The sequence below is a fragment of the Homo sapiens genome, chromosome 17 (assembly GCF_000001405.40).
Source record: "Homo sapiens chromosome 17, GRCh38.p14 Primary Assembly".
Lineage (NCBI taxonomy): Eukaryota > Metazoa > Chordata > Mammalia > Primates > Hominidae > Homo > Homo sapiens.
Window position 1 is genome coordinate 75381659 of NC_000017.11, and position 19993 is coordinate 75401651.

Below are 19993 nucleotides of genomic sequence, written 5' to 3' on the forward strand. Positions count from 1 at the left end.
TGCAATGAGCTGAGATCACGCCACTGCACTCCAGCCTGGGTGATGGTGCAAGACTCCGTCTCAAAAAAAAAAAAAAGAAAAAAAAAAAGAAAATAAAGATATATGAAATAATGACATGAAATGATCAACACTTCCCAAAAACACATACCCCTTTCTTGTTCTCAGTGAATCCTACAGTTTCAGGGTCCAAAATACATTTTTTCTCACTTTATAACTAAACTAAAAGCTCTTGCATTTTTCAAAAGAAAAATGTTACCAAGGGCTTTTGCCATTTTGTTAAACCTAGATTTTAAAAGTCCTGGGTTCCTGTAATCCCAGCACTTTGGGAGGCTGAGGCGGGTGGATCACAGGGTCAAGAGATCGAGATCACCCTGGCCAACATGGTGAAACCTCGTCTCTACTAAAAATATAAAAATAAGCTGGGCGTGGAGGCACGTGCCTGTAGTCCCAGCTATTTGGAAGGCTGAGGCAGAAAAATCACTTGAACTCGGGAGGCAGAGGTTGTGGTGAGCCGAGATCGCGCCACTGTACTCCAGCCTGATGACAGAGCAAGACTCCGTCTCCAAAAAAAAAAAGTCCTGGGTAATGTATCGAGACCTTGTCTCAAAAAAAAAGGAATAAAAAGTCCACTATTAAACTAAAGAATAAATTAGTTGAAAATAAAAGCCACTGTTAAAACGAAGAAAAAAACTTTCACTATGTTACTGCTAATAATTAATACAGGTTGTATATCCCTTAACTGAATAAGCGACCAGAGGCATTTCAAGGTTTCTGGATTTTGGAATATTTGCATTTATATAGGTTCAGCATCCCTAAATCTCAAAATCCAAAATGCTCCAACAGGCACTTCCTTTGAGTGCCATGCTGGCGCTCAAAAAAGTTTCAGATTTCAGATCTTTGGATTAGGGATACTCAATATGTAGTTCTTTTGATAAAAATGTTAGGACAGAAAGTAAAAGAACTACTGCTAGAAACCAGACCAAGGTGGGCTAAACTTTCTAGTAAAGAAGGAAATACTAAGCATTATCTATGGCATCCTAAGATTTTTATTTATTTATTTATTTATTTTAGACGGAGTCTTGTGCTGTTGCCCAGGCTAGAGTGCGGTGGCACTATCTGGGATCACTGCAAGCTCAGCCTTCCGGGTTCACGCCATTCTCCTGCCTCAGCCTCCTGAGTAGCTGGGACTACAGGCGCCTGCCACCACGCCCAGCTAATTTTTTGTATTTTTAGTAGAGACGGGGTTATCACCATGTTAGCCAGGATGGTCTCGATCTCCTGACCTCGTGATCCGCCTGCCTCGGCCTCCCAAAGTGCTGGGATTACAGGCGTGAGCCACTGCGCCCAGCCGGCATCCTTAAGATTTTTAAAAGTTGTTTGGGAAAAACACGCCTATTCTCATTATTGAGACTAGAGAGAATGTTTACCCATGGCTTCTCACTGAGGGCAGTTAGAGATACTGAAATCGACCTTAATATCCTTAAAGTAAATACTATGAGTTTTTCCCAAGGCTGTTTTTTCAAACATTCCTTACTGTTAGCCAATTGCACAATCCCAAAGCTTCGGTAAACTACAGAAACTTACAAAAGAGGCCCCCAGTAGGACACAGCATAGGTATCCATCTATTTGCTATAGATGTGTAAGAATGGAGAAAAACTCTCCATCAATACTGTGCTTTCAGCTGAGCTCTGGGACAGGGCTGGAACAGTTCTGAGTCTGAGGTAACAGCAGATAACCTTTGGCCACTTTTATGCGTAGAGTCATGTGACTCAATAGTTTCCTGAACCCGGGATCTGGACTAATCACCTCTTATCAATGCTGTGTACTGAATAGCATTAATAAAACTAAAAGCTAGCAATTACTGTCTACTTTATGCTAGTTACTGCTTTAAAAACACCAACATAGGCTGGGCGGGTGGCTCACGCCTGTAATCCCAGCATTTTGGGAGGCTGAGGCAGGCGGATCACAAGGTCAGGAGTTCGAGACCAGCCCGGCCAATATGGTGAAAGCCCGTCTCTACTAAAAATACAAAAATTAGCTGGGTGTGGTGGCACGCTCCTGTAGTCCCAGCTACTCAAGAGGCTGAGGCAGAAGATTCGCTTGAACCCAGGAGGCAGAGGTTGCAGTCAGCCAAGACAGCACCACTACACTACACTGCACTACAGCCTGGGTGACAGAGCGAGACTCCTTCCCAAAAAGAAAACAACAACAACAAAAAACACCAACATATTGGCTCTTTTAGTCTTCACTATGACCCCAGGAAGGTAGGAAACTATTGTTCCCATTTTACAGATGTCAGAACCAAAACACAAAGCCATCCCGTAAATTGCCCAAGATCGCAATGCCCGATCTGTCTGTGACAGAGCTAGGATTCCAAGCAGGCAGGTCTCGCCTAGAGCCAGTATTCTTTACAATACTTCAGATGTCTCTCATTCCACATCCAGAAGGAGGTAAAATTAAGGGAGTAGCTGCCAAAAGGACGAAGGTTTTCCTCAAAAAGTCATTTTGGGTCAGTTTTTCAAATGTCTCAAAGTTTTATGATCCTGAGCACAGTCACAGTGAACTTCAGCCTAAGATTTAAAATCAGGTTAAATCTCAACGCTTAAGAAACAAAACCACTCCTCAGCAGAGCACTTCACCTTCCTAGAATATCCTTCAAGGTAAACTAGATGCAGAATGTAAACTGCTTACTATCTGAATGTAACTTTTTTCTTTTAATAAAACTGATAGCTGGGCATGGTGGCTCACCCCTGTAATCCCAGCACTTTGGGAGGCCAAGGCGGGTGGATCGCCTGAGGTCGGGAGTTTGAGACCAGCCTGGCCGACATGGTGAAACCCTGTCTCTACTAAAAATACAAAAAATAAGCCGGGCGTGGTGGCACATGCCTATAATCCCAGCTACTCAAGAGGCTAAGGCAGGAGAATCGCTTGAACCCGGGAGGTGGAGGTTGCAGTGAGGTGAGATCACACCACTGTACTCCAGCCTGGGCAACAGAGACTCTTGTCTCAAAATAACATAACATAACATAAAATAAAATAAATAATAAAACTGATACATATGGTAACTAATTCAAGAGTATGAAGAGTAAAAGTCACCTGAAATTCAGTTACTTGGAGACAACAATTACTCCTTGGGAGACCATTCAGAAAGAGATCTATGTATATGATAAAAAAAGAGGAAAAGACAGCAATTTTTCCTAAATGGCCTCTCTCTCTAGTTTGACCTCATTTGTGTATAGAAAGGCTTTATTTACAGAGGCCGGGCGCGGTAGCTCATGTCGGTAATCCCAGCACTTTGGGAGGCAGGCGGATCGCTTGAGCCCAGGAGTTCGAGACCAGCGTGGGCAACAGTGAGACCTCCTGGCTCTACCAAAAAAAAAAAAAAAAAAAAAAAAAAAAAGCAAACAAACAAACAAACAAAAAAACCCTTAAATTATCCAGGTGTGGTAGTGCACAGCTGTAGTCCCACCTATTCAGGAGGCTGAAGTAGGAGGATTCCTTGAGACTGAGAGGTCAAGGTTGCAATGAGTCAAGATCATGCCACCGCATCCCAGCCTGGGTGACAGAGCAAGACCCTGTTTCAAAAATGAAAATAAGGCTGACCGTGGTGGCTCACTTCTATAATCCCAACACTTTGGGAGGCTGAGGCAGGCATATTACCTGCGTTCAGGATTTTGAGACCAGCCCGGCCAACATGGTGAAACACTGTCTCTACTAAAAATACAAAAATTAGCTGGGCATGGTGGTAGATGCTTGTAATCCCAGCTACTCAGGAGGCTGAGGCAGGAGAATCACTTGAACCACGGAAGTGGAGGTTGCAGTGAGCTGAGATTGTGCCATTGCACTCCAGCCTGAGCAACAAGAGTGAAACTCCATCTCGAAAATAAAAAATAAAAATAAAAAAAGGGAAAAGAACAAAAGAACATAAAATCAGGACTAAACCAGATTGGATCTGAATCCTAACTTGTGAATTTGGGCAAATTAAGCCTCAGATTTTTTGTCAGTAAAATGGGGATAACAGCATCTGCCTTTACAAGATTTGCGTGAGATTAAAAGAGAAGGGAAGTTGAATACTTAGCTTAGAGCAAAGGCATGCTAAGTATTTAATATGTTAGTTATATTATTACTTATTAAAACAGGATCCATTTAAACGTTTCTCTGTGCAAGTGTAGGCATTATTCTGTGTTGATACAGATCAACGTTAACACCTTCATTGCCACTTAATAGGTGCCATAATCTACCTCTGTAAACCCCACTAATTGGTTTTGCTTTTTGGCTTGTATGGCAATTTCATGAACTGGAAGGTGCATGCCACTTTTATGTGTTTTAACATCTCTAAAATGCATCTTACAATTGACAGTATTGGCAGAAAAAAATTTTTCTAGGTGGTATATACATAATTGAAATAAACATCCTTATGTCTACATCTTTAAAAAACTTGTTTATGAGTTTCTTAGAATAAATTCTTTTTTTTTTTGGAGACGGAGTCTCACTCTGTCGCCCAGGCTGGAGTGCAGTGGCATGATCTCGGCTCACTGCAACCTCTGCCTCCCGAGTTCAAGCGATTCTCATGCCTCAGCCTCCTGAGTAGCTGGGACTAGAGGCACACACCACCACGCCCAGCTAATTTGTGTATTTTTAGTAGAAACGGGATTTCACCATGTTGGCCGGGCTGGTCGCAAACTCTGACCTCAAGTGATCTACCCGCTTTGGCCTCCCAAAGTGCTGGGATTATAGGCATGAGCCACTGCGCTTGGCCTTAGAACAAATTCTTAAAATGTTACTTGCTGGATCATTTTATGTTCTGATACCTATTACCAAGCCACCAGTGAGAAAGACAATATTGGTAAAAATCTCCAGAGACATGGGAAAGTGGTAACCATTTCTTCACACTGTAGCCAGCAAAGGATGGGGTCAATCTTTGTTATCTTTGGTAATCTGACATACAAAATGACAAACTTACTCTAGACAGGAAGTCCAATAAATCACTCATGGAAGCAATGCCAGGCAGCTGAACAAAGCAAGACTACTGATACCCTAACATTTCTGGTCTACTCATACCTGGACAGTTAAGAGGGGTATCCATGTATTGTGATGGGTACACCCAGTACACCACAGCAAGACCTAAGATCAAACTTCACCTCTGTCACTTGCTAGATGTGTGAATCTGAGCAAGTTTCTTAAGCTTTGAGCCTGTTTCTGCACCCATAAAATGGGGTTAAGAATGCCGATCTTGGCCAGGCGCGGTGGCTCACGCCTGTAACCCCAGCACTTTGGGAGGCTGAGAGGGGCAGATCACGAGGTCAGAGGATAGAGACCATCCTGGCTAACTAAAAACACACACACACAAAAATTAGCTGGGTGTGGTGGCGGGTGCCTGTAGTCCCAACTAATCGGGAGGCTGAGGTAGGAGAATGGCATGAACCCAGGAGGCGGAGCTTGCAGTGAGCTGAGATCCCACCACTGCACTCCATCCAGCCTGAGGGACAGAGCGAGACTCCATCTCAAAAAAAAAAAGAGTGCCAATCTTGCCCAGGACGGTGGCTCAAGCCTGTAATCCTAGCCAAGGTGGGTAGATATTTTGAGGCCAGGAGTTCGAGACTAACCTGGCCAACATGGTGAAACTCACCTCTACTAAAAGTACAAAAATTAGCAGGGTGTGGTAGCACGTGCCTGTAGTCCCAGCTATAGGCTGAGGTGGGAGGATCGTTTGAGCCTGGGAGGCAGAGGTTGCAGTGAGCTATGATGGCACCTCTGCATTCCAGCCTTGGTGACAGGGGGAGACTCTGTCTTAAAAAAAAAAAAAAAAAGTCAATATTTCAGCATTCAAGATTAGAAATGATCTATAATTTAGTAGGCTGGGCATGGTGGCTCACACCTGTAATCCCAGCACTTTGGGAGGCCGAGGCAGGTGGATCATTTGAGGTCAGGAGTTTAAGACCAGCCTGGCCAACATGATAAAACCACATCTCTATTAAAAATACAAAAAATTAGCCAGGTGTGGTGGCGGGCGCCTATAATCCCATCTACTCGGGAGGCTGAGACAGGACGATCACTTGAACTCAGGAGGTGGAGGTTGCAGCAAGCCAAGATCGTGCGATTGCACTCCAGCCTGGGCGACAGAGTGAGACTTCGCCTAAAAAAAAAAACAAAACAAAAAAACAAACCCAACAACTTAGAAGCAATTCTACCATATGGTTTAGAGGTGAAACTGAAAGATTCTGAAGGAATACTACATTTCCTTACTCATTTCTTTCTCCAAACAGGAGGAAGAATCATCTTCAGCCAGTCTCCCAAAAAGAATCTTTTATAGGAAATGAAAGTTCATTCTCAGCACCTATTTGGAAATAGTCCATTCAGCTGACAAAATGAATATAATAAAAAGCAAGCAGATTATTTGCTTTAAGAGCACTCAAACAACAAACTGCTCCCTTCCTTTTTTGTTTTTGTTTTTTTGAGATGGAGTCTCTCTCGGTTGCCCAGGCTGGAGTGGAATGGCACAATCTTGGCTCACTGGAACCTCCACATCCCGGGTTCAAGCGATTCTCCTCCCTCAGCCTCCCGAGTAGCTGGGATTACAGGTACGCACGCGCACCACCGGGCCCGGCTGTTTTTTGTATTTTTAGTAGAGATGGGGTTTCACCATGTTGGCCAGGCTGGTCTCGAACTCCTGACCTCAAATGATCCATGCGCCTCGGCCTCCCCAAAGTGTTGGGATTCAGGCGTGAGCCACCACGCCTGACCACAAACTAACCTCCTTCTTAAAGATTAAATGCAATATTCTGGTTTAGTCAACAAGATTGATAAGAATTCTTACCAAAAGGCAAAGGCTGGGTGCAATGGCTCACACCTGTAATCCCAGCACTTTGGGAGGAAAAAATAAATGGTTCTACAGAGTATACTGATACTAGGACTTTAAAATAGTGGGGGGGGGGAAGAAAAACACTTTTTTTTTTTTTTAATTTGGAGATGGGGTCTCGCTTTGTTGCCCAGGTTGGGCTCCAACTCCTGGGCTCAAGCAATCTTCCTCTCTCAGCTTCATGAGCAGGTGGGGCCTTCAGGCTTGCACGAGCATGCCTGGCTTTTTATTTAGATTAGGTAATTTGAACCCCTGAAATGGGACTTGTGCACTGAAACTCAGGACTTATAACTTGTGAAAACTCTAACCAACCAAACTAGGGATTGGCTCTCCACTGATCTTCTCCATTGAGGATCATAATCAAAGGGCATTCCTTTCTTAGGAGACTTATTAAAATGCCCCTATCTGACAGGCAGAAATCCCATGATTCTTGCTTTCAGTATCTTTCAAACCACTCCCCTCCTTCATTTCTAGTATCCCAGGTTGATACAGACACTTGACACACAACCCGATTACTTGCCACCATCCAGGCTTGGGGCCCCAGCCTTGCCCCCTTGCAATTCTTTATACACACACACACAATGCTCTTCATCGCTAAAAACCTTCCGAGGCTTCTTAAGGACCAGATCAAACTCTTACTGGGCTTTTCTCACCTCGCTCCAACTCTACCTTATTTTCCACTATGTCAGTCTAGATTCTTATTCCAGCCTTCCTATCTCAAACACAACAAGCACAAGTTTCGTCTCCCTTGAAATGTCCTCCTTCTCTTAACCTACACGTCCTGTTCTCCTACAAGGTTCAAGTCACAACTCTGCACACACCTGACTGATGTCAGCGCTTGCCAGTTTCATCCTTCCTGAACGACTCTAGCAGTTACAGTGTGCAACCCGACTCAAGTATACCATCAAATACTACTAAGAATCACTACTACAAATCACTACCAAGAATGATAGTTGTGTGATCTTGGATAGATCATTTAACCTATATGGGCCACCATTTCCTCATCTGTAAAAGAGTAAGTCTAACTTAAGAAATTTTAAAAGATCTTGCCGGGCGCGGTGGCTCACGCCTGTAATCCCAGCACTTTGGGAGGCCGAGACGGGCGGATCACCAGGTCAGGAGATCGAGACCATCCTGGCTAACATGGTGAAACCCCGTCTCTACTAAAAATACAAAAAATTAGCCGGGCGTGCTGGTGGGTGCCTGTAGTCCCAGCTACTGGGAGGCTGAGGCAGGAGAATGGCGTGAACCCGGGAGGCAGAGCTTGCAGTGAGCCGAGATCGCGCCACTGCACTCCAGCCTGGGTGACAGAGCGAGACTCCATCTCAAAAAAATAAAAAAATAAATAAAAATAAATTTTAAAAGATCTTTTCCTGTTCTAAAAAAATTTTTATATACCATCTTGTACTGTTTCACATATTAATCTCAATTCTCTTACTTGAGATTTTGGAGCTTCTGAAGGGAGAAAGTACATCTTATATTTCTCTCCCAACTCTCAAAGCAACTTATCCCAGTATCTGGCTCAAGAGATGCTCAGTCAGTGTGACACTGAAATAGGCCAGGCAGTGCTGAGACAGAATGCTTTGAAGATCTCAATGTGAACTCAAGACCTGTTTTTAAAGTAGTTTAAGAAACTGGTAAAGGTAGTTAGTGCCAGAGAGGGTAGAATACACCTAGATGATCCAGGCTGGCTCTCCACTAGAGCTGAAGAAAGCAAGAGGCTGGCTCTAGAATGGAATGAGCACAGATCTGAGAGCTCAAAATGGGTCTCTTAATTCCTATAAGCACAGTTTGAAGTATGTATACATAAGCCCCTAAATGGCAGTTGCAACTCCTAGGTAAGTTTTATGTGCTCTAGTGTAGACTATTTAGGGGTCTTGTCAGTGGAGAACCTCTGGGACTGTCTCAAGCCTGCCCTACAATGGTGGGAGGAATTCTGATGTATTCCAACCACACCAGGCCTGAAACCTGCAGTGGAAGGGCAATTCCTTCTATTTTACATCCCAGTGTCCTCTCCCTCCCCGAGCCAAGAAAAACACAAGCTTTTATAAGAGAGAGAAACAAAGGCAGACATATTGAACCATTCAACTCTATTTTAGGCTTCCAGTAAAATGCTTTTATTTTTTCCTCTTTTTCTCTGGACAGTAACAGGTCAATGTGTAGACAGAAAGTAGGGAAGGGGTCTGCTGGAGGAGAGGAGTCACCATTTTTAACTAAAAGTTAACCAGGAACTCCAAGACAGGAGAAGATGTGATCCTTCTGAACTATAGACAGAGGATGAAGGCTAAGTGCCTATTTCATTATCTTGAAATGAAACTTATTCAATATCCATATGCACGTCTCCTTTATCAAGAGAAGGCATATATATGCCTATTTCAATGAAAGTTAAATTGTTCAATGCTATTCCAGCAACTTTTAAAACATGTTTTGGCTTACAACTAATACCCTCAAGACGTCCCAAATCAAAGCAATTCAAATGAAGCCAGTTTACTTCTTGAAGAATCAAATGAGGAAAACTCCGTTTTTTTAACTAACAGCTTTTAAGAAAGCATGTTCCTCCTCTTCACCCAGCCATTTCACACAGTTATGAGACAAAGGGCAACTACTGTATCGTCACTCTTTTTTTTTTCTTTTGGAGTAAAGCCACAACATTACCAACAAACAGCTAATGGCCACCGTTCAAAAGCAATAATGGCATTATGACTTCATATCTCAGTTATCTACCAAATTGAAAAGAACCACATATATGTATTTTTCTCTCTCCTCAAAGAAAATCTAAAAGTGAATGTGAGTATTCTGATTTACTTTCTCCTCCATAATAAAAATTTCTGAGGGACTGTTAAACAGGATCTTCTTCCCTAATAATAGGATGGGAAAGAAGGTTTTTACACTTGCTCCAGAATTTACTAATTTAAGTTAAAGAATTTATAAAATGTTCATGGTCTAGGTCTAGGACAAACTTCAAAGACAGAAATCAGGGAAAGTTCTTGTTTAAAAATTTTAAAAAAAGGCTGGGTGCAGTAGCTCACGCCTGTAATCCCAGCACTTTGGGAGGCCGAGGTGGGCAGATCACGAGGTCAGGAGATTGAGATCATCCTGGCTAACATGGTGAAATCCCATCTCCACTAAAAATTCAAAAAATTAGCCGGGCGTGGTGGCGGGCGCCTGTAGTCCCGGCTACTCGGGAGGCTGAGGCAGGAGAATGGCATGAACCTGGGAGGTGGAGCTTGCGGTGAGCCCAGATTGTACCACCGCACTCCAGCCTGGGTGACAGAGCGAGACTCCATCTCAAAAAAAAAAAAAAAAAAAAAATTCTTAAAAAGAGACCGCATGCCCCTAGTTTTGTTTTAATTTGTTGCTTCAGTGCTTAATGTGCAATGGGACAGATTTAGAGAAAAATATGAACCACCAGCCTTCTAGGTTCAAGTTTCTAAGATAAACTTATGAAAAAATCTAAGTTTGTATCAAAAACAAAAAATACTAGCCCAAAAGGGCTTTTGTACAGGCTATAGATGTGGGCATTTGAGTAGCCCATCTTATACCATCACAAGTGGGTTATCTACAGAAAACAGTAATCACCTACAGAAACATCAAATTACCTCTCCCATACACCAATGAAAACTGAGGAATTTTGTAGTCTAAGTTAACTTTGCCCTGATCTCTAGCTGGGCATATTTTCTCTAGTTCAAGAAAATAGAAACCTAGTTTCTAGAAAATGGTTCCGTCTGCTTTCTGACAATTTAGTGTTGACTTTGAGAATACCCTCGAAAAGTGTGGTGTCACAAACACAGCTTTGAAATGAACACACAGACACAAAGTTTTCTTCTCTTTAAAGGGCTCTGCAGCATCATCTTCTATGAGGCTCAACCTACATTTCTAACATTAAGAAATTACTGGGCAGTTAACTTCAGAGTAGAACTCTACGCCTTGGGCAATGAGGGCAAAATAAAGACTATCAATAAGTCCACATAACTTAAAAGTAAAAAGACTGCACGTCCTTTTATAAAGAACCATATTTCTACATCTCCACTTGCTTTCTCTTCATAAAATTCTAAGAATTTCATTCAGGGGTAGTAAACAAATGAGGTAGCAAATTCCAACAATCAGTCTAAGGCTCAGAAGGAAAAATGTCAAAACTTGAGACACAGGGAACACTCAAACATGAAGCTTCAGCCTTTCCTCCTTTAAAGTTAACATACTCTTTGATAACACTCATCCTCGTTAAAATAAATTACACATCCAAAAGAGCAAACTGCTACAGTCAATTGGGTAAACAACATAATTAACATGTGCTGGGGGAGAGCGAATCCTCACATAAATAGTGGGGCTCAAAATAAGCTGCACATGGTATAGAAGCTGATTTTTAAACTGTCAGCAGGTTTCTTTTCGTGCAATTAGAGTTTAATATGGGGTAATTGCTCCTCAAGTTTCTTTTAAGAAAGTCGAAATCTGACTTGTACAATAGCAGGTTGCACCTTATTATTTAGAACTCCATTTGTTTTTTCACAAAGAATAAAAATACACTGAAGTTCTTTAATGAGTTTTGGTATGTACTTCTAACAACCTCTCTAAACTGGGAAAATTAATTTCTAACCTACCAAAATCATATTCCAGAACGCAAAATCCTTTGGCTATACAAAGTAAGACTAACTGAATGCTTTTACATAAATACTTCAGGTCTGGGTCTTTTTAAAAAATGCTATTTTTAAAATAAAACTCTACAGGGCAAATCAATCTACTCATATACTTCCTTTCTACAATCACATTACTTTGACTTTACTTGAAATATTACCAGTATCAACAGACAAATGAGGCATTCACACAAAGGCAGTTAAACACCACACATCACACCAACTCACTTAAGTCATATTTAATATTCTACTCAGCATCTAAAGCTCTCCAGAACAAATATGATGGTAAATGTTAAAAGTGTACAATGAAAAACACAGCTTCTTTGTGTGTAATCAGGGCGAAAGAAGGTGGGTGAGCACAGGGAGAGCGATCTCAGCATTGTGCTCGGCATCAGCACTTACCTTGAGGATGTCCCCCCTTTTGAAGCTCAGCTCGTCGTCTGCAGTAGCTTTGAAGTCATATTTGGCGATGGCTTCCATTCTGAGCGCTGCTCAGTGCTCAGCAGCCTGAAGCAGGGGGAAGGGAGTCTTCCCTGCTGAAGCAACCCAGCGCTCTGGGCTTAGCCTCGCCTCTCTTCTGGGACTCGCTCCGGCACTCTGGGACACACAATGCCACCCTGAAGCAGGAGAGGGACGATTAAGAGCAGTGGCCAGGATTGAAGGCAACCCCGCCCTGCCAATCGGCCTGCTGTCCCAGCCCCCACGCCCCCTGGCTCGGCCTGGCTCAGCCCTCCTCCCTCCCTTCCAGGCAACAGCCCCCCCCCGCCGACTTCTTCCTCTTTTCAGCCTCGGCCCCCAGGCGACTGACAGGCCTGCCGGCCAATGGCACAGCTGCCTGAGCTATTCCTGAACACACTTCCTCTTCCTTCCCGCTGGGTGTGCACTGCGTGCAGGAACCGGCTGGAGTCCCACTCAGTCTCCGCCTTTCCTCCTTTACTCCTCACAGGCTCTTCTCCAGCACCAAATACGGTCCACTGAAAGGAAGGCCTCACCCTGGGGATGGCACCTGTCTCTTCTCGGTTAAACAGGCCTGTCTCCCTCCCTTCCCCACCGCCATCCTTTCTGGTCTTCTGAGAATGCTGGCTTCCCTACTGCACAGTCAAGAGCAAGCAAAGCAAAACTCTTTGGTCTCGAGCTGCTGCACTCTTCTCGAAACTAAACCATGATCTGCTCCCAGGAGAGCAGGAGAAAGTAAATGTAGGAACTGCTTTTTCAATCCATTTACTGCTACAAGCACCGGCGGCTTTCCCCCTGCACTTCCATGTTGTGATCGGCAAGCTCAGGTAACCAGAGAAAGATCACAGCTCCAAGCTGTGTACCAGTGGAAATGGTGGGGATGACGCTCTTGCATAAGGCTCCCTTTCCCCGGCAGATCCCCAAGACTCTGGGGTCCCCACCAGGAATGAAATAAATGACCAAGGCTCAGCACTCCAGAAATAGCTCCACATTATTTCTAACTAACCTAAGGAGCAGAGCTGAAGTCCTAATCTACACTTGAAAGGAATCCCTTTTTCAGAATCTGAGCTGCCAAGTATCTTGTTTGGGAAAGAAAGTGCAGGGAGATGGTGCCCGCAGAAGGTCAAAGAGAAGTCTCTCTCACAGTCACCCTGTGCACAGCTTCTTAGAGCAAGCAGAGTATAAAACTGATGCAAACTGCATTTTGCAGGTAAAAGATTCTGTGAGAACCCTGAGATACTGTATCAGACGATGAGGAACTGGCAGTAGTACAATGAACGGTGTAGTGAAGCGTCTCCAGCCATGAATATAGGACACAACCTAGATCTGTGGATAACTAAATAAAAATAAAGCCCCGTTCTGGTTAGCTCGGTCACTGTTTTCATACTTGCTAAACAAAAGCAGAAAACAACAGAACTGGGACAGATTATTTATAGTGACACCTTTCTTGGATAATTACAACCCAGCAGCTCATTTGAGGGGCACAAGTGATTATTATTCCTTTGTTCTAAAGTTGACAATTGGGGCACTAATCAAGCATAGCTGCAAATGGACCAAGTAGTAAAGCAGTGGGGAATATTAAGATTAGACCAAGATAAGTATTATCAAAAAGAAAATAAATCGTCTGACAATGAGTCCTTCAGTCAAATTCTGAAAGCCAAACATTCTGCTGCAGGTAACTAATAAACCAAACCAATGTTTATTCCTTCAGGCCATACCTAAGATATTCCATGTGGCGCTGGCTGTAACAGGGAAAGTAAAGAAAGAGTCCCAGCAAATATTAAAAAATACAGAGGTTGATCTGCGAATATTTATACTTGTGTATCCTTAAATGCCCTTCACTTACACTCTCTGTAGTTACTTTGATCAAACTAATCCGTGTACATAATTTTAAAAGTCAGAGTATTAAAAGGCTTATGAAAAAGAGCAGCTCCCTACCAACACCCACAGGCGATCACTCTCGATTTTGTTTTTTGCTTTCTCTTTGTATTTACTTATTTTTCTTTTTTTAAATCTTGTGGTCAATGCACAAAATGGATAGAGTATTTCTAAAGAATGTGCTTTTACTGCTTTCTCAGTTTATTCCAGCCATTATCTATTGCCTGAAAGGTGAAGATTTAGTTTCCCCCGACCTATACCAGTAATATCACATATTCTGGTTTAATCAGTAGTATGTTATGAAATACTACTCACTGATAATTTAAATAATGCACTAAAACCAATCATACTTTTTGTGTTTTTTTTTTTTTCTTTTTTGAGATAGAGTTCTCTAAGATTGCCCAGGCTAGAGTGCAGTGGCATGATCTCGGCTCATTGCAACCTCCACCTCCCAGGTTCAAGCGATCCTCCTACCTCGGCCTGTAGCTGGGACTACAGGCATGTGCCAACAAGCCTGGCTACTTTTTATATTTTTAGTAGAGACGGGATTTCACCATGTTGGCCAGGCTGGTCTTGAACTCCTGGCCTCAAGTGATCCGCCCACTTTGGCCTCCCCAAGTGCTGGGATTACAGGCATCGGCCGCTGTGCCTGACCCAATCATACTTTTTTGTACAATCCTTAGATTTTTCCCAGCATTAGCAACTGCTTAATGTTCTATTTTTTACTTGCCTAGTTCCCTGTGTATCTACTTTTACTTTTTCTTTTCTCTTTTTTTTTGAGACAGGGTCTTGCACTGTTGTCCAGGCACGAGTGCAGTGGCATGGTCATGGCTTACTGCATCCTTGATCTCCTTGGCTCAAGTAATCCTCATGCCTCAGCTTCCCAAGTAGCTGGAACTACAGGTGTGGGCCACTATGCCCGGCTACTTTTTCTATTTTTTGTAGAGACAGGGTCTCACTATGTGAGACCAGTCCAGTATAGCTTAGTGTTGAATTTGCATGGTCTCTAGAGGCAGGCCCCTCACGCTAACTGCTACAATTTTGGGCAAACTTTTCAAACAAGCTCCAGTTTCGTCATCTGTAAAATGAGAATAATATCTACCTTTTAAGACCCAGGCTGGTCTCAAACTCCTGGCCTCAAGCAATCTGCCTGCCTCGGCCTCCCAAAGTGCTAGGAATACAGGGGAGAGTGAGCCACCACGCCCAGCCCTATTTTTACTTTTAATGAATGCTCCAAAATCTCTCCTACTATCAAGATTTTCCTCAGCCTATTTATTTTAACTGGTCTCTAATGCCGAGACTATGTATTAGTGATAGGAAGCTGAAGAATATTTACAATGATAGGAAAAGAATAAGGAGTTTTATTTTTGAAAAACAGAAATCAGATAGAAATGAAAAGCCCTGTCACTTTCAAGGTGCTATGTAGTACGACCAGCCATAAGCTTCTGTGTCATTCAGGATTTAAGACAGCTGCAATGTTACTACTCAACAGCAGTACAAAAACCAAGACAGTTCTCAATACCTGCTTTCCTGCTGCTACTCAGCTCATCTGCTGAAAGCTTAAAAAGAATAACCTTCTTGAAAGTCGTGTTTTGAGTAACTATTGCTTTGTGAGATGCAGAGTTTGACAGAAAATTAAATCCCTACTTCCATGGCTGTGCTGAGTAAAAAAACAGAAAACTCAAAGAGGAAAGCTTATTAGGTTATCCACCCAAAAGAGCATATTCGCTAAAGGAATTCCAAAGGGTGTGTTTCAGTAAAGACAAAAAAAAATCTAACACATACACAACACTAATTACTAAAAGGAAGAAATCTGAAAGCAGACACAATGTATAATGATTTTAACAGAGTAGATGTTGCTGTTCACTTCCCAAGAAAATGGGGTATAGTGTACTTAACACTGAAGCCTAATGAGAGTAACCTCGAAACTGTTACCAGCCCATCCCAAGCAGTGAATTTTAAGAAAGGTAAGTACAGCTTTAATCATTCATTTCAAACAATGTCTACTGTATCCAAAAAAACTACTATCCTAAAGGTATTTGCAAGATTTTTTTTCTTTCTTCCATTTAACTCTCTTCTTCCCAAAATTCACAGAAAATAAAATACATGACAACAGTCCAGTATAGCTTAGTGTTGAATCTTCATGGTCTCTAGAGGCAGGCCCCTCACACTTACAGCTACAGTTGTGGGCAAAGTTGTGAAACAAGCTCCAGTTTTCTCATCTGTAAAATGAGAATATCTACCTTATAAGATCCACTGAGGATTAAATTAGACAACATATATAACATACATTAAGTGCTCTGGATAGAGCCCGACATGTAATAATCACTCAAAATTTATTTATTTATTTATTTATTTATTTATTTATTTATTTTTTGAGACAGCATCTAGCTCTGTCGCCCAGGCTGGACTGCAGTGTCACGATCTCAGGTCACTGCAACCTCCGCCTCCTAGGATCAAGCAATTCTCCTGCCTCGACCTCCCAAGTAGCTGGGACTACAGGTGCGCGCCACCAAGCCTGGCTAACTTTTGCATTTTTAGTAGAGATGGGGTTTCGCCATGTTGGCCAGGCTGGTCTCAAACTCCCACCTCAGCCTCCCAAAGTGCTGGGATTACAGGCATGAGCCACTGCACCCAGCCTTCAAAAGAAATTTTAAATGTTACTCTATTTAAAACATATGAAAAGAAATGCAAATTAAAACAATCAGAGTTTTCATATACTAATTGGCAAATTTTAAAAATATTTATAAAATCCAATCTGCAATACTTTGAGTAAACACACTTTTATTTATTTATTTATTTTTCAGAAAGGGTCTCACTCTGTAGCAAAGGCTGGAGGGCAGTGGCGTGATCTTGGTTTACTGCAACCTCCGCCTCCTGGGCTCAAGGGATCCTCTCACCTCAGCCTCCTTAGTGGGGACTACAGGCACCAGCCACCATAGCCTACTCATTTTTTTTTGTAGAGATGGGGTCTCCCTATGCTGCCCAGGCTGGTCTCAAACTCCTAAGCTCAACAGATCTGCCTGCCTTGGCCTCCCAAAGTGCTGGGATTACAGGTATGAGCCACCGCACCAGGCACAAAGACTTTTTACCCTACCCGGTGTCCACTGACTCAACATTTTGAGAAGTTACTAACTGACAATGTGGCTTGGTGTTACATTATAATAATAAAATCACCACAGAACCCACACTACAGCAAGGAATTAATGAGCTCAGCTCAATCTTTTTGGTGAGTTCTTTGGTAATCTATTGACAACTTTTATTTATTTTTATTTATTTTTTGGAGACAGAGTCTTGCTCTATCCCTCAGGCTGGAGTGCAGTGGCGTGATCTCCGCTCACTGCAACCTCCACCTCCTGGGTTCAAGCGATTCTCCTGCCTCAGCCTCCCAAGTAGCTGGGATTACAGGTGCCTGTAACCATGACCAGCTGATTTTTCTATTTTTAATAGAGACAGGATTTCGCCATGTTGCCCAGGATGGTCTTGAACTCCCGACCTCAGGTGATCCGCCCACTTTGCCCTCCCAAAGTGCTGGGATTACAGGCGTGAGCCACTGCGCCCAGCCTATTTACTTTTATTATTTGAGACAGAGTCTCGCTCTATTGCCCAGGCTGAAGTGCAGTGGAGCAATCATGGTTCACTTCAGCCTCAAACTCCTTGGCTCAAGCCATCCTCCTGCCTTAGCCTCCCAAGTAGCTGGGACTACAGGTGCACACCACCATGCCTGGCTAATTTTTGTGTGTGTGTGTGTGTGGTGACCAGGACTCACCATGTTGCCCAAGCTGATCTCAAACTCCTGGACTCACGTGATCCTCCCCATCTCAGCCTTTCCAAGTGCTGGGATTACAGGGGTGAGCCACCACACCTGGCCTTGACAATCTTTTCTTTTTTTTTTTTTTTTTTGAGATGGAGTCTCGCTTTGTCACCCAGGCTGGAATGCAGTGGCACGATCTTGGCTCACCACAACCTCTGTCTCCTGGATTCAAGCCATTCTCCTGCCTCAGCCTCCCAAGTAGCTGGGATTACATGCCCCCACCACCACGACTGACTAACTTTTGTATTTTTAGTAGAGGCAGGGTTTCACCATGTTGGTCAGGCTGGTCTTGAACTCCTGACCTCGTGATCCACCCGCCTTGGCCTCCCAAAGTGCTGGGATTACAGGCCGTGAGCCACCGCGCCCGACCAACAATTATTTATTTATTTTTTTGAGACAGAGTCTCGCTCTGTCGCCCAGGCTGGTGTAGTGACGCAATCTTGGCTCGCTGCAAGCTCCGTCTCCCAGGTTCATGCCATTCTCCTGCCTCAGCCTCCCGAGTGGCTGGGACTATAGGTGCCCACCACCACACCCGGCTTATTTTTTTGTATTTTTAGTAGAGACATGGTTTCACCATGTTAGCCAGGATGGTCTCGATCTCCTGACCTCGTGATCCGCCTGCCTCAGCCTCCCAAAGTGCTGGGATTACAGGCATGAGCCACCGTGCCCGGCCCTGACCGACAATTTTGAAATATTAATACATACTCTTTTTTTTTTTGAGACAGGGTCTTGCTCTGTCACCCAGTCTGGAGTGCAGTGGGTGCCATCTTGGCTCACTGCAGCCTTGACCTCCCAGGCTCAGGCCATCCTCCCGCCTCAGCTTCCCAAGTAGCTGGGACTACAGGTGTGTGCCACCACACCTGGCTAATTTTTGTAAATACATACTCCTTTTTTTGAGATGGAGTCTTGCTCTGTCACCCAGGCTGAAGTGCAATGGCACGATCTCAGCTCACTGCAATCTCCGCCTCCTGAGTTCCAGCAATTCCCCTGCCTCAGCCTCCCAAGTAACTGGGACTATAGGCGTGCACCACCATGCCTGGCTAATTTTTGTACTGTTAGTAGAGATGGGCTTTCACTAGGTTGGCCAGGCTGGTCTCAAACTCCTGACTTCAGGCAATCCACCAGCCTTGGCCTCCCAAAGTGCTGGGATTACATGCATACCACCATACCCAGCCTCATGCTCCTTTTTTCTTTCTGAGACAGAGTCTCGCTCTGTTGCCCAGGCTGGAATGCAGTGGTGTGATCTCATCTCACTGTAACCTCCACCTCCTGCGTTCAAGCGATTCTCCTTGCCTCAGCCTCCCAAGTAGCTGGGATTCCAGGCGTGTCACCACCACCTAATTTTTGAATTTTCTTTTTTTGTGTGTTTGTGTGTGTTTTTAATGTTTGTATTTTCAAATAAAGACGAGGTTTCACCATGTTGGCCAGGCTGGTCTCCAACCTCAAGTGATCCGCCCACCTCGGCCTCCCAAAGTTCCAGGGTGACAGGCGTGAGCTACTGTGCCTGACCAATACATACTCTTGACCAAGCAATTCCACTTCCCAGATTTATCTCACTGAAACAATGAGACAAAATACAATGTGCAACATACACATATACACCCACACCCTTGATCAATATCCATGAGCTTGTGTATGGAGTATCTACATAAATACCAGGATATATCAATTTTTTTTTTTTTTTGAGACGGAGTCTTGCTCTGTCGCCCAGGCTAGAGTGCAGTGGTATGATCTCTGCTCAAAGCAACCTCCACCTCCCGGGTTCAAGCCATTCTCCTCAAATTTTTAAAGCTGCAGAAAAATTATAGTTTATCCTATTTCTGTAAGGCAAAATAATACATCAGTATGTGCTTAAAAAAAAAGGCTAGGCCGGGCGCAGTGGCTCACGCCTGTAATCCCAGCACTTTGGGAGGCCGAGGCGGGTGGATCACGAGGTCAGGAGATCGAGACCATCCTGGCTAACAAGGTGAAACCCCGTCTCTACTAAAAATACAAAAAATTAGCCGGGCGCGGTGGCGGGCGCCTGTAGTCCCAGCTACTCGGGAGGCTGAGGCAGGAGAATGGCGTGAACCCGGGAAGCGGAGCTTGCAGTGAGCCGAGATTGCGCCACTGCAGTCCGCAGTCCGGCCTGGGCGACAGAGCGAGACTCCGTCTCAAAAAAAAAAAAAAAAAAAAAAGGCTAACAATGGTTATCTCTGCTAGCGAGATCACAGAACACTTTTACTTTCTGCATGATACACCTCAATTGTATTTTCATTATTTTTACAATAGGCATGTGTTACTTTTGTAGTTACAACACAAACCAAAAAGCTTACTGACGCTCTGGAGTTAGACTTGGATTCAAATGTCACTTTC

General features: G+C 43.7%; 1 protein-coding gene and 1 long non-coding RNA gene across 3 annotated transcripts in view, besides 4 other annotated features; one reads left to right on the plus strand and one right to left on the minus strand.

Moving 5' to 3' along the window:
- The window catches only part of GRB2 (growth factor receptor bound protein 2), an 87603-nt gene that overhangs the window by 63583 nt on the left and 4027 nt on the right, over window positions 1–19993 (minus strand). For both annotated transcript variants that reach the window (NM_203506.3, NM_002086.5), the window contains exon 2: window positions 11893–12107. In NM_203506.3, the coding sequence (NP_987102.1) occupies window positions 11893–11970 (78 nt within the window). In that variant the 5' untranslated portion in view covers window positions 11971–12107. The remainder of the gene's footprint in view (window positions 1–11892; window positions 12108–19993) is intronic.
- Window positions 3077–3277: a silencer, noted in NCBI's record as "peak2996 fragment used in MPRA reporter construct". NCBI's record gives its function as "represses an SCP1 promoter by STARR-seq MPRAs in K562 erythroleukemia cells {active_cell/tissue: K562}" and the evidence as "EXISTENCE:reporter gene assay evidence [ECO:0000049][PMID:32103011]".
- Window positions 12326–12425: an enhancer, noted in NCBI's record as "active region_12762". NCBI's record gives its function as "activates an Ori minimal core promoter by ATAC-STARR-seq in GM12878 lymphoblastoid cells {active_cell/tissue: GM12878}" and the evidence as "EXISTENCE:reporter gene assay evidence [ECO:0000049][PMID:35858748]".
- Window positions 12326–13276: a biological region, named in NCBI's record as "NANOG-H3K27ac hESC enhancer GRCh37_chr17:73390107-73391015".
- Window positions 12368–13276: an enhancer, noted in NCBI's record as "NANOG-H3K27ac hESC enhancer chr17:73390107-73391015 (GRCh37/hg19 assembly coordinates)". NCBI's record gives its function as "activates a minimal SCP1, AML or CMV promoter by ChIP-STARR-seq in naive H9 embryonic stem cells {active_cell/tissue: H9 hESC(naive)}" and the evidence as "EXISTENCE:reporter gene assay evidence [ECO:0000049][PMID:30033119]".
- Window positions 12405–13754, plus strand: LOC124904060 (uncharacterized). The gene is made up of 2 exons (XR_007065909.1): window positions 12405–12773; window positions 13157–13754. It is a non-coding gene; the product is annotated as an uncharacterized LOC124904060 (long non-coding RNA).